This window comes from Homo sapiens, chromosome 13, assembly GCF_000001405.40.
Source record: "Homo sapiens chromosome 13, GRCh38.p14 Primary Assembly".
Classification (NCBI taxonomy): Eukaryota; Metazoa; Chordata; class Mammalia; order Primates; family Hominidae; genus Homo; species Homo sapiens.
Window position 1 is genome coordinate 91898588 of NC_000013.11, and position 13726 is coordinate 91912313.

A 13726-nucleotide genomic window follows, 5' to 3' on the forward strand; every position below is an offset into this window, starting at 1 on the left:
CTTTATTTTGTTTTAAAAGATGCTTGGGTGGGACTAGATGACCTCTAAGATCCTTTCCAGCTCTAAATTTATGTTACTGTCACCAAAGACAGACAAAAAAAAAATCTATTAGGTTATAGGCCTAAAGATGAATGCCAAGTACTATATTCCTGCTCTAGGTGTATTTCTTGTTGAAGGCAGTGCTAGATTCTGTGACCTGTTACGGCCCCTTACATTCTTATGGTGATAAAATAAGAGAACTGATTGCTAAGAAAAAAAAATTCAGTTAAAATATCTTTTTACTCTTAAGCATCAACAAAAAATAAGAAATAGAAAACAGAAGAGCTGAATTATTTCTTCTGAGCTATTTATAATAAATTTGGACAACTAAGCTAAGCCTGAGTGTAGCTAATTTAATGAAATTGGTCATATTTGAATATTGTCACAACCTTACTATCACATTAGCATTAAGTGTGATTAAAATTTATTCTTTGTTTCTGTGTGAGTCTCCACAGAATCAGCTATCAACACCTTCATAATAAACTAGCCCTTCATTGCTTTTGGGAAACTTTTAGATTCAGAGCAGGTGGTTGGGCTTCTGCTTTAGAAGAGAACAAATCATTTTTGAAGTGCCTTTCCTGTTTGTGTGTGTGAACTTAGAACACAGAAATTGTCCATTGCATCATTTTTGCTAGGAGGTAGAAGTTATTAAAAATATAGGAAATACTAGATATCATGTACTGATAATTTCCAAAGCTAATTATTTTTCTTGTGGCCAACTGAATTAGAGTAAAAACATAAAAGTTAAAAACCAAGCTACAATTTAAGAGGTGTACTTGTGAAATATAAATATTGTTTTACAGTAATAAAATGTTTCTCATGGGAAAATAGAATATGATTTTTGTTGAAGTTCAAGGGAATATCTGTTTTCATTCAGGTAGTTTCCAGATTTTTGTCTTTACAATGTTCTGTGTAATGATTTAAATACTGTACCTCCAAAATTTATGTCCACTAGATACTTTAGAATGCGACTTATTTGGAAGTAGGGTCTTTGCAGATATAATTAACTCAAGGATTGAGATGAGGTCATCCTGGATGAAGGTGGGCCCTAAATCCAATGTAAATGTCCTTATAAGACACAGGAAAAGACACACACGGAGAAGGTCATGTGAAGATGGAGACAGAAATTGGAGTTATGCAGTCGCAAATCAAAGAAGGCCAAGGATTGCCAGGAGCAAGGGAGGATTCCTCCTGAGGGTCTTCAGAGGGAGTATGGCCCTGCCAACATCTTGATTTCAGAGGTCCAGGCTTCAGAACTGTGAGAGAATATATTTCTGTCCTCTTAACCCACCAAGTTTGTGATAATTAGGTATGATGGCCCTAGGCGACTACTACATTCTAATTCAGAAGTTCTTCTTGGTTTTATTATATCATGTGTTGGTAGGAAGTATCTAGGTGTTTCATTTGCATGATATGTTGGTAATCTTAGAATTATCGTATCTTGCAAGTAATTTTAAAGTATATTTTAATGTAGCCAGAAGCTTTTTAAATATGAAATTTAATTCGTGCTTGTGTCAATTACATTTGAAAAAAATACAAAAAAGCTATATAAGATTCTAGGATCTTTCAGAATTTTATAATGCTTCTAATGAAAAGTTGGTTAAATAAAATTTGTACTCTAAATCATTTTGTTGTTGGCTTAAAATAGCATTTAATTTATTAGTACTCAGATAACAGTTTTCCCCTAAATAGCATATTTACTTTCATATGTTGGTATCAAACAGTGAAGTGAGACAGCAAATCAGTACAAAGTGGTGATTATCTATCATCATAAATCCATGAAGGATAGCCTTGATCTTACTGAGAGGAGTTTAATTTTAAAATGCATTCCTGGAAAAGGCAAGTTAGTATAACATTTCAAACTCGTATAGCATTATTGGTAATTGATTATAGTTATAATTGATCATTTCATATTTGGACAGTCACTTTGAATCAAATTAGGATAATTATAAATTAAAGATTTATTATCATTTGCTTTGAATTTTTGATTAAAAAATTTAAAACCATAAAAACAGAGCTTTGACTATAAAAAACGTATTTATCCTTTCTTGGTAAGATTGGGGAGGGGTTTAAGAAAAGGCTAAGCAATGTTCTATTTTTTTACGTAGGCAAAAGTTCATTTGTGCTACTTTTTAATTAGGTAGGTAATTTTTTTTGAAATGACAGCTTCCAAAACACTACTGATTTTACGTGTGCAGTCATTAGTTTTTCATGTGAAAATATTATCTTTCAAATTCACACAGATGCTTATTTTATGAAATGCAATGGGACTACTTACCTGCCACCTGACTAAACTGGCATGCGTAGATTCACGCCTTGCCAAATCAGGAGTTAGGGTGAACAGTGATTAATATCCATTCTTTAATGAGTTTCTAAGTCTTTCTGAACATGTTTTTATTATATTTGTTGCAGTGGGATGGTAAAATTTTCAGGTTGGTTGCTGTACAAAGCATGATAATATCTTTATTAATGTTAATGACATCCATATCATAAAATATTATATTCTTAATAGGAAATTTGTTATATATAAATAACAATAAAGATCATAATAAGCTCTCCTTAATTCCATTTATTTTGACTTCATTATTAAGTTTAAAAACATAGGTGTCAAATTTAGACATTATTTATATGTAATTATAAAGCCAAATTAATGTTAGAGATTAACTTAAAAGTAGTTTTGTGGCTCAACAATTGAAGTGAGATAGTGGGATCACAAAAGGCTTAATCATTTTGAATTGATTCCACAGATGTCTCCTTTCTCTAAATCCCCTGTAAGCCTCCTATCTTCCATGAAAGGTAGTCCCATAAACCTGGCACATAAAATCAATCATATAACTCTTTTCCATTCTGAGATTTCAAAGATTAGGACTTTCAACATAGAGAAAAAGTGCTGTGTACAAGTTGAGTGTACAAAAGTCAACACTTGGCAATGGAATCCAGTATTTCCCAAGTATTTGAGGAAACTTACAAAAACCAAATCTCTAGTCCTTGCTTTCACATTTGCTGTCAGAACCAGGAAGGGAGGCCTAGAAATGGTTTGTATGGAAAATTTGTTCTTGTAGAAGCAGTTCACCTTCACTGATGAATAGATACAACATATTTCCCAGACCTCCTTTTAAGCCAAGATAGCAACATTTTTACCAGAGCCAAAGATAAAACCAGTGTTTAATCTCCTAGAAATTAGGAGATTTATGACTCTGGAAATGGAAAGAATTTTAATATCCAGCCACATAACCAGGTCATACAAGAACATAATAAACAAACCAATCAAACAACAACAAGAATAACAACCACAACATGGCCCCCATTCTCTTTTTAACCCCCGATAGAAATAGCAATAAAGGTAAAACAAGAAAGCTCTCATCAAGTGTTTTCCTCATCTACTATTAATGATTTATTCTTACATTCTGTCCCAGTCCAGTTATCAAAAAATTCCAAGACAGACCCCTGTAACTGATTTGTAATGAATTCCAGGGTCAGATTCCAGATATTGTTTCCCCTGAAACTGTGTAAGTGCACATCAGAATACTATACTTTTGGTGTGAATCTGAGCCAAATTCTATTGTATTCTAAATAAAGTGAAATTACTATCAGCCAATAGGGCATGGTATCAGTTTCAAATAGGACAAGCTGGTAAAGTCAGGAGAAATGACTTCCTCCTGAAGTGCTGTATATAAATTTATTACAATGCCTTTTAAAATTTTATATGTTCAACAGAGAGGGAACTAAGATCTTGTTATCATCATTTAAAAACAATTTTGTAGAATGTAAATATATCAGGGCTTGCCTTTTTTCCTTGTTAATGAAAAACAAGTAGTGCTTGGGGAGCAAGTATTCCTGTTCAACTGCTGTCACTCATTCCCAGCTCTGCTTAGAAGAAAGAAGCACAGATGGTGGGTCTATTACTTCCCCAACAAAAAATCTGCCTGTCTATATTTTTTGGTTTTATTCCATCCTTTTCATTGTAATGTGAACAATATTTCAAGTCAAGAGACTTCTGTAGGGATCTTTGAAATGTTTTATCCATTACTTGTACCTTAAAAAGAAAAAGAAGGAATTAATGATTTATTAAAATGTCACGAGGGGAACTCAAATAAAAATTATTGGTTACAAAAAAATTTAATCTAGAAACCATGTTTTTTTGCATGCAAATTAAAGCCTTCAGGGAAGTGAGGTTTTATATCAGACTTAGATCCTAAAGTACTCACTTAATGACGACAGACCACTTAGTCTATGTTAAACATACCTGTGTGGGTCTTTTTTATTTATACTGTGGCTCAATGAAAATTTGTCTATTGTAAACATATTAAGAAAAAGAGCATAGAGGCTTTTTAACATAATTTTATAAGGCTGAAAATACATACAAACAGTAAAACACCCAAATCTTAACTGTACAGCTCAGTACTTTTTTTTTTTTAACAAACTTAGCACTTCTGTGTATCCAATACTAAAATCAGGAAACTTGATATTATTTCTTCTAGACACTATCTCATAGGGTAGCTCTTGTGGTGATTTGGAACATAACTGATTCGTTTTAAAATTTTTAGTAAATTAGATCATAGAATATGTTCTGTATCTTGCTTCTTTCATTCAATATTTAGTTTATAAGATTTGTCAATCTTTTTGCATATAGTTGTAATTCATTAGTTCTCATTGCTATATACTATATCATTATACAAATATAATAAATGTCCAGTTTGTGGTTATTTTGAAAGGTGCTTCTCTGAGCATTCATGTATCTGTCTTTTGGTAAATATTGTTGGGTATATGCCCAAGGTCATAGAATATGGTTAGATTTAGCATACGTGGGAAATGGTGGTTTCCGTCAGTTTACATTTCCATCCACAGTGGGAGAGAGTTCCAGTTGCTCCACATCTTTGCCAACACTTGGTATCATTTCTCTTTTTTATTTGAACTGTTCTGATGTGTATGTATCACTATTTCAATTGTGGTTATTTTGAACATTACAAAACTGGAAGAGAATAACTGATTTTATTAAATCACATTTCATTTGAAGTAATGTGTGTCTACTTTGCAGTATTTTTCCTTATTTATATGACTCATAAGAAGAGTGACTCTGAAATATTCAATAATATAACAGCTTGGAATGAGATTTTTATCAGCTATAATTATAATACATTTTATCTAAATATTATTTTACTGTATTAGTAGCTGTGATAATTAAGAACAAAACCAAAAGGTAAGCAGGTAAGCAATTCCTTAGATTAACATGAAACAACATTCCTGCCTTTTTAAAGAAACTTTTCTGGCCTGTAAGTAAATGATGTAAATCAATTAATAGCTTAATTAAAATTAAGAAAAGAGTCTCAGTTTTCATTGCCTATATTATGTCTGTATTTTCTGGAGAAACAGAAACACTGTACGGCAAACCTACAGTCTGCTAGTTTCTTCTCACCCTGCCAACAACAGTTATATTACTGTTTAGCTGGTTACATGCAACCATTTGTTGAGGAGGATTGTTTTGTTTTGCTTAGTTTTACTTTCTTTTCTTTCTTTTTTTTTTTTTTTTTTTTTAAGGCAGGTCTTGCTCTGTTGCCCAGGCTTGAGGTCTGTGAGTTTTATACTCATGGTCACATGGTCAGTGTGGTGTGATCACAGCTCACTGCAGCATTAATCTCCTGGGCTCCCATGATCCCCCTGCCTCTGTTTCCTGAGTAGCTGGGACTAAAGGCTCATGCCATCACACCTGGCTTGTTGAGGAGGATTTTGAAGAAAATCACACATGCCTTCTTAATTAGAAACAATGAAACCTTAGAAAATGTAATTAGAGAAAAAAATAACATTTTGCACCAAGCTAATTATATCTTTACCTTTTCTTAGTCGGTTTCAGGATTGATACTTATTGGTGGTTGTATTTTGGAGTGTGTGTTCCTTGCAGCACACTTTATGTATATAGTGTGGCCTTATTTGAGTAACTCAAGTTACTTAACCTTTCCAGATCCCAGATTCTCCAGCTGTAGAATGGGAGTAATTATAATACAAATATTACATGGTGGGTTAGTCCAGGTCCTCCAAGAGGTAGATGTTAAAAAGGGGTTAAACACAAGAGGATTTTATTAAGGGAAATTCCTATGAGAGAAAATGGAGAGGAAGCTGAGTAAGCCTGGAAGAGCTCTCAGCTGTGAGGAAAGTCTGACCTAGAGTGAAGAAAAGAGGAAACGAAGGTTGAGTGGAAGCACTGGAGCATGAAGTACAGTCTAAGGAAGGGTAAGAAAAGTCTTCAGGGAATCCTGAGCCAAGCCTGGTCCTCAGAGAAGCCCTGTGTCTCCTAATGAGGGATCTGCATTAGCAATCTTGCTGCCCTCAGTCATTGACTGAGGGGCAAATGCAGAAACAGATTTTAGAGTGAAGCAGCAAATGGCCTTAAATCAGTCAGACTTCCCGTACTTTGAGGTCTATGAGTTTCTTATTCATGGTCACCAAAAGATGTTTATCATGAATTGACAAACTCCAGATAGAGTAAAGCAATGCCTAAATCATAATTATGCACTTATCAATTTATTTATTCATATTATTCACTATCATTACAAATATTCAACACATTAATAAAACAGCCACATGTGCAATCTACTTAGGATATTGGGAGCATAAGGAATAACACAGCAGTGCTACAGATAATTTAAGAGATGGTTACTCTCTTTCTCTCTCTATCTCTCTCTATATATTTATTTATATATATGAGTATAAAATTTTATTTTTCTAAAATAAAGAATAATTGGTTTCCTTGTACTATTTGTTATTGATGTATACTGCCAAATCCCTAATGAATACTGGAATACTTAACTCTAAACTCCCTGCATGCCTACAAAAAGAAGTGGGTCCAAGGTTATATTTTAAATCAAAAGATGTGTTAATATTATCATTTTTATCATGTCCAATGGATAGTATCATTATCAAAAAGTTTAATCACTGATTATTACTTGAAGGACCTAGTTAGGAAATGTTTGATCCACTTCTTAAAACTGGTCACTGGAAGTATATTATCTCAGGAAGAACTGGATATTTATTGAAACCCCTTTAATATAGCCATAATCTCAAACATAGAACCTTCTTTTATTTTCTTCAAAGATTTTTCAATTTCTGTAAAAATTCAGAGGGTGTTTATGGATAGTGCAATACTCTGCTCAAATATAGGGAAGGAAAGTTACATTAAAATGAGAATATTTTTGCTGAAAAGTATTATGATATTTAATGTAAGCAAACAAATTACTCAGATGATAGTATTTGTTTTCATTTTAAAATGTCTCTTTAATTTCAATAGTTTTTGGAGCACAAGTAGTTTTGGCAACATGGATGACTTGTATAGTGGTGAAGTCTGAGATTTTATTGCACGTGTCACCTGAGTAGTGTACATTGTACCAAACATGTAGTTTCTTTATCCCTCACCCCCCCTGCCAACGTCCCTGTTCTGAGTCTCCAGAGTTCATTGTATCACTCAATGGAGAGTCTTAAACATTCAGGGTAGAATCTTCGGGGTGTGACCTCCTATCCATTGCTTTCCACCATTTGTACTCTCTGCTTTGTGAATGGAGGCCCGTTCTCCCTGTCTGCTTTGTTCACATACCTTTGCCATTTTCCTTGCTGGGATGACATCCTTTGCCCTGAAGTTCTCGTTAACCATACCACAGCTGTCCTCTTCTTACCTCAATACATCAAAGGCTACTTCAAGTTACAATTTCTCCCTCAGTTTTTCCCTAGTCTAAGTCCACGTGGATTTCTCCATATCCAGAATGTCTACTACTTGTCTTATCTTTCCTCACACTTGGCATGTGCATTTCCTTCCAGCTACTTTCATAATGTTGTATTTTAACTGTTCAGTTGTGTTTATATTACACTATTCTGCCAGGCAAATAAGAGTATTTATATTGCTGAAATCTATGGTTTTTTAAAAATGTAATAAAATGTAATGAATAAACATACAAATGAATGAGTTAATTACTATATTCCTGGTTAAGTAATGAGCATTATGAGGACAAAAATTGTGTCTTACACCTTCTTATAATCCTAATCACCTAGTATAGGACTTGGAATATAGCATGCATTTAAGACATCTTTGTGACTAATGAGTTTAAATATTTTTATTAATTCTAAGTTGACATTATATGATTGTAATTTGGGGAAGGTAGTGAAATTTCAAATGGCTTTCACCACCGGTGAAATGACCCTTTTACATACGACATGATTTACCAGATCTTTGTTTAGGTGAACCTAGGTGAAAGTGGATTGTTTCCTCTACTTAGAAAATATTTTGCAGATTTTAGTTGCTTAAAAATTTGATTATTTAAATTTGTACAGTTATGGTTTATGATATTGCCTTGTACAGTTATATATTTTTTATATATTTTATATATATATATATGCCACATGTGTGATCTGCTTGGAATACTGGAAGAGTAAAGAATAACATAACAGTGCCACAGAGGATTTAAGTGATGTGCCATATATATATGTATAATTTTATTTTTCAAAAATAAAGAATATTATTACACATTAATAACATAGGTATAATTGTTTTCCTTCTACTGTTTGTTATTGATGTATACTGCCAAATCCCTAATGGATACTAGAATTCTTAACTCTAAGTCCCTCTATGCCTACAAAAAGAAATGTGTTCAAGCTTATTTTAAAAATCAAAAGATTTATTAATAAAACTATTTTTATCATGTCCAATTGATATTATCATTATTAAAAAGTTTAATCACTTATTACTTGGAGGAACTAATTAGGAAATATATATATAATATATATTAGGCTAAGATATATGTACATGTATATATATAATATATATTATATATACAAGTATATACTACTATATAATATAGATATATTAGGCTACTCTCTCTCTCTCTCTCTCTTTATATATATATATATATATATAGTATATATGTAGTAGCCTAATACTTAAAAAATAAGATAAGGACTGCATAAAATAAGCTGACTCAGACAATATGAGTGTGGACATATGTATAATTCAGCAAGACCTGGTAACAAAGTGAGATATATATTAACTCTTTGTAGCATATTGTTAAGTAGTATCAAAAAACAAGTAATTTCTGGTTGGGTCCATTGAGTGAATAACATTATTTTTAGATTGATCTAATGGCACGATAAGCATTTTAGCATTTTTCCTGGAAAAACATTACAGCTGTGCCAGTTTCTGTTCCAAGAGAAAAATACATTGGTGTATTCTCTAAAGGAGGAAATTCCGACCTCAAATATGTTCAGATAGCTGTGACAGATAATACCCTGATCAGGTACTAAGTCATATCTTTCACATTTCCCTTGCTAGTTATACTCAGCGTGTGGTTGGAAATGGAATCAAAGCCCAGTCTGGAAATCCTGAAGTCAAAGTCAAAGGAATTGATCCTGTGATAAATCAGATTATTGATAAACTGAAGCATGTTGTTCAGGTAAGTCCTGATCCTATATTTATTAGTATACTCAGTCATAAATAATAAGTGGTTACTTTCTGTTATATTTGATAAATTTGTTAATCCTGTCAGATAATCCTACCTAAAATATTGTAACACACTTTTTGTATCAGGACATTTGGAAATATTTAGTTTCATGATTTTTGGATGCAGTCAATATGCAGTGATATTTTAATACTGGACAATCTGTATCTGTGAAAAGCAAGCCTCAGCCTCAGCATTTCATAATGAGAATCTCAGGATATGCTTTGTCTTCAGTGAATAAGTTTGAACATGGGAATCACTGTGACCATTAAAGAAAACACATATAAGACCATAGAAGTTGCCAGAGTTATCTTTCAGGTAATTCTCTGAATGTTACTGTGAAGGTTTTGCAGCATTTCAATATAAGTTAGGTCATAGATGAATAATATGTATTTATAATATTTATTTCCTATAACACCTTTTATATGTTATCTTATAATCTAGCTAATGGTTGTTTATGAAATATTTCTGTTTTATCTTCAATAATGTTTTTCATCAAGTAGTGTGTATTGCTGTTTTTAATACATGGCAAATGAAGCATGAGCATATTTATCAAAGTAATATTTCACTGAAATAGTCTATTAATTAGAACCAAACATTATGTTGCATGTTGTAAATATTACCCTCCATTCTGCATCTATTGATGTTTGGGGTAAGAAAGGCTATTTTTTTTTTAGTTATTAGTCATTTTTCAAAAATTTATATTTGAACATACTTTCATTTTTCCTAAGCAAAACTTTGTATGGGTAGTTGATATTTATTTCTAGTATCATGAGTCAGAAACAATACCTGAATAGTACAGAGTTTTTATTGCATACAACATATTCAAGAGTCAGTAGTAGACTTCTCATAATTGTTCTGCAAAGACAAAGCTTAAGTTTATGCAGAGCCAGTTCTTAGGTTCCCATTTTCACAAGAGTCCCTATATCTCAAGGAAAGGATATGTAAGAAGGACATGGGGGTTGGTGTCCAATACCATAGATTTCTCCCTTCTGCGAGGCAACAATGCTTATTCTACCATTGATACCTGTAGAAAACAGATCTCTCGCCCTGGCTGGCAAAACCCAAAATAAATTCTATTGGAAAAGTCTAAGAGAAAAGTGGTATCATGACTACCGATGAGTTAAACCTCCCAGCCTCTGCTGAGCTGGTCCAGTTGGTACCTCACAGTATCGTCCACTATAGTATAATATGTACATCTAGATTATTTGAAAATTTGAGTGCATAATTGATAATAAAACCAAAAGAGCTTTAATATTAATCAGCTCCTCTCATTGAGGAGTGAGTACAATCTCACTGTGAGGACACGGTGAAATCTTAGTGGTTTCTTAAGTGGGATAAGCATTTCACAGAGGGTGCAGGAAGAAAAAACAGACCTTAAGTGTATATTTATTCAGTCTCATTCTTTTATATTACTTTGGTTGTAGTAAGGTATATAAAATATGTAATATATTAGTGCAATAGCACATACATATAATTTATAAATACATAAATATACATATTAACTGGGCATTTATTCAGATTGTTTTTATAAGATATGCACAGGATGAAAGCAGAACGGAAACCCTATTACAGATAATAAAGATGGTGCTGTTCCATAAGAAGTGCACAGTTATAAAAAAAACACATTTACAGAGAAGAACACATAGATACCCAATATAAAAAGGATTATAGAAACCCTTAGGAGGAGGGTTCACATATTTATTGCCCATTCAGCAAAACACCACCCCCCTCCTCTGCCAGTTCTGGTTTTGTAGGTTTCAAAGCCATAGCCTTTTCAAGGGGGCAGAGGGAAGTCATCCTACCTTTCTTTTTTAGCTTCTGTGTGAACTCGAGTCCCATTCTTTAATCTTTCTAGGAATGTGAAGATGGCCAATTATTCATGCTTAAGTTTCATTCTGGGGTTGCAAGAGAATATCAAATACAATGCTACCTTTGAGGTCTATCCTTTTAAGGTCTACTAGAATTATATGATCAAAATTTAGATTTTTATAGAGGAGAGCAGAAAGTTATGTCTTGCACAGGTGTCACTGAAACATTCACCTTTAATGCCTAAGAATATGCTCTTTCATAAACTGCTCTCCTGGAGATGAAGAGAAATGTTTTACTTTGCCAAACTTTTGACTACTGATAATGTACACGTGCCCTGGCAGGGATGGCTATTGTACTGTCAATATCAAGGGATGGCTAACAGCACCTCCACAATGTCAGCTATGAAAGGATTCAGAAAATAGCCTTCCGTAAGTGAGAATTTATTAATTTAGGAGTAGGGCCATGGAAGACGTCGACATAGGAATAGGTTTCAGATCCTAGTCTATAGATTTAGATGATCACTTCTTAGTGTTTGTATAAAATTTACTTTATTTTTTATTATAGTAGATATTAAATTTACTTTCCACCTTTGTGCTATGAAAAATGCCATCTCTCACCATAGGGACGTACCTATATTAAAGAATATGGAAGTAAGTCAGCCATAATAGCAAAAATTGCCTGCATACACTCACCCAAAAAGGCCTTTCTCGGCCTGCCATTGATCTGAACCTTATTTCTACCCTGAATTGTCTGCAATTAGAGTCACTAAGGAAATAGATAAAGATTTTTACTTGGAAAATGTCACTTTTTAATGTTTTAATAATTCATTCAAAATACTCAAACATGCTCATTGAGTTTCTAGTATGATCCTGGTTCTGTACAGGCACTGAGGTTAAAGTTGTGAATAAAGCAGACACAACCCTGCTCTCATGGGCTTTATGTTATAAGAAAAAAGTAAATAAACAAATAAAACCAGTATTGTAGCTGACACATGTTATAAACAAACCAAACAGGATGAGGTAGGGAAAGATATTTAAGAAGAATGTGCTGGTGGAGGCCACTCAGGGGGAGATGTTTGGGTTGATTCTGAATAAGGAGAAGAAAGGAGTCACAGGAAAACCTGTGAGAACTGTGTCTGGGGCAGAAGGAAAAGTAGGCGCAAAGGTCTTGTGGCAGGAATAAGTTTATTTTATTCAGAGAACAGAAGGCCATGCAGCTAAAACAGGGTGAGTTAAAGGGAGGAGATAAACATACCTCATGTTTTGGGGAGTCCAGTAGGCTCTGGTAAAGAGTTTATATTTTCTCCTAAGTGGCTAAGAAGTCATTTAAAAACTGTAAGCAGAAGCTAGCTGGGTGCAGTGGCTCATGCCTGTAATCTCAGCACTTTGGGAGGCCGAGGAGGGTGGATCACCTGAAGTCAGGAGTTTGAGACCAGCCTGGCCAATATGGTGAAACCCTATCCCTACTAAAAATACAAAAATTAGCCGGGCATGGTGGCTCACACCTGTAATCCCAGCTACTCAGGAGACTGAGGCAGGAGAATCGCTTGAACCCAGGGTCAGAGCTTTCAGTGAGCCAAGATGGCACCACTGCACTCCTGCCTGGGTGACAGAGCTTGAGTCCATCTCAAAATAAATAAATAAATAATCACAACTTTAATAAATCAATAAATAAAAACTGCAAGCAGAAAGCTGATAAAATTTATGTTTTATGAGGACTTCACTATGAAAAATGGACCCTGCATGCAAGAATGAAAAAAGGAAGTGGTACAGACAGAAGACCACATAACTGGAACTAGAATAATAAGAGTGGATACGCTGAGAAGTGCATAGATTTAGACAAATGTTGGAAGCGGGGTTATTGGGATTTGTTAATGGATTGGAACTCTGGGAGATAGAAGAAGGATGATAGCAAGGTTTGGTGGGATGATAGTGTCACTAAGTGTTAAAAGGAATTCTAAGAGAAGAGTAGGTCTGGCGGAGGGTTCCTGGGATTGATTAAAAATCAGTGGTTTTGTTAAATGTGAGATGCTTATTAGATACCCAAGAGGAATGTGCAGAACTCAGGGAGACCACACAACTGGAAGTGTATGTTTGTAAGCACAGAGTGTGGATAGTACCTAAGCCCTGAGATTGTATAAAGTTGTCACCTTTCCTTTAGAGTATAAATTCACACCAGAACTATTAATGGAGACTGTAAGACAATGGAATCATACAAAAAATTGTATTGCAAAAACCTATGAATGGATAAAACATTTTATTAAATGTATTGGGCACCTTGTATATACTTAGACAGTTGATCTAGGACAGAGAAGATACTTTGTAACATTAATTTTTTTCTTACTGTAAGAATAATGACTCAGGAGACGGAGGCTGCAGTGAGCTGAGATCAGGCCACTG

The 13726-nt window shown here is 33.8% G+C and overlaps 1 protein-coding gene across 4 annotated transcripts in view; it reads left to right on the top strand.

Annotated features, from left to right (window-relative positions):
• The window catches only part of GPC5 (glypican 5), a 1468617-nt gene that overhangs the window by 499967 nt on the left and 954924 nt on the right, over positions 1-13726 (top strand). For 3 of the 4 annotated variants that reach the window (NM_004466.6, XM_017020435.3, XM_011521054.4), the window contains exon 6: positions 9350-9470. In NM_004466.6, coding sequence (NP_004457.1) covers positions 9350-9470 — 121 coding nt within the window. Of the gene's footprint in view, positions 1-9349; positions 9471-13726 lie in introns of those variants that run through there. The other variant, XM_017020437.2, reaches the window with a different exon arrangement.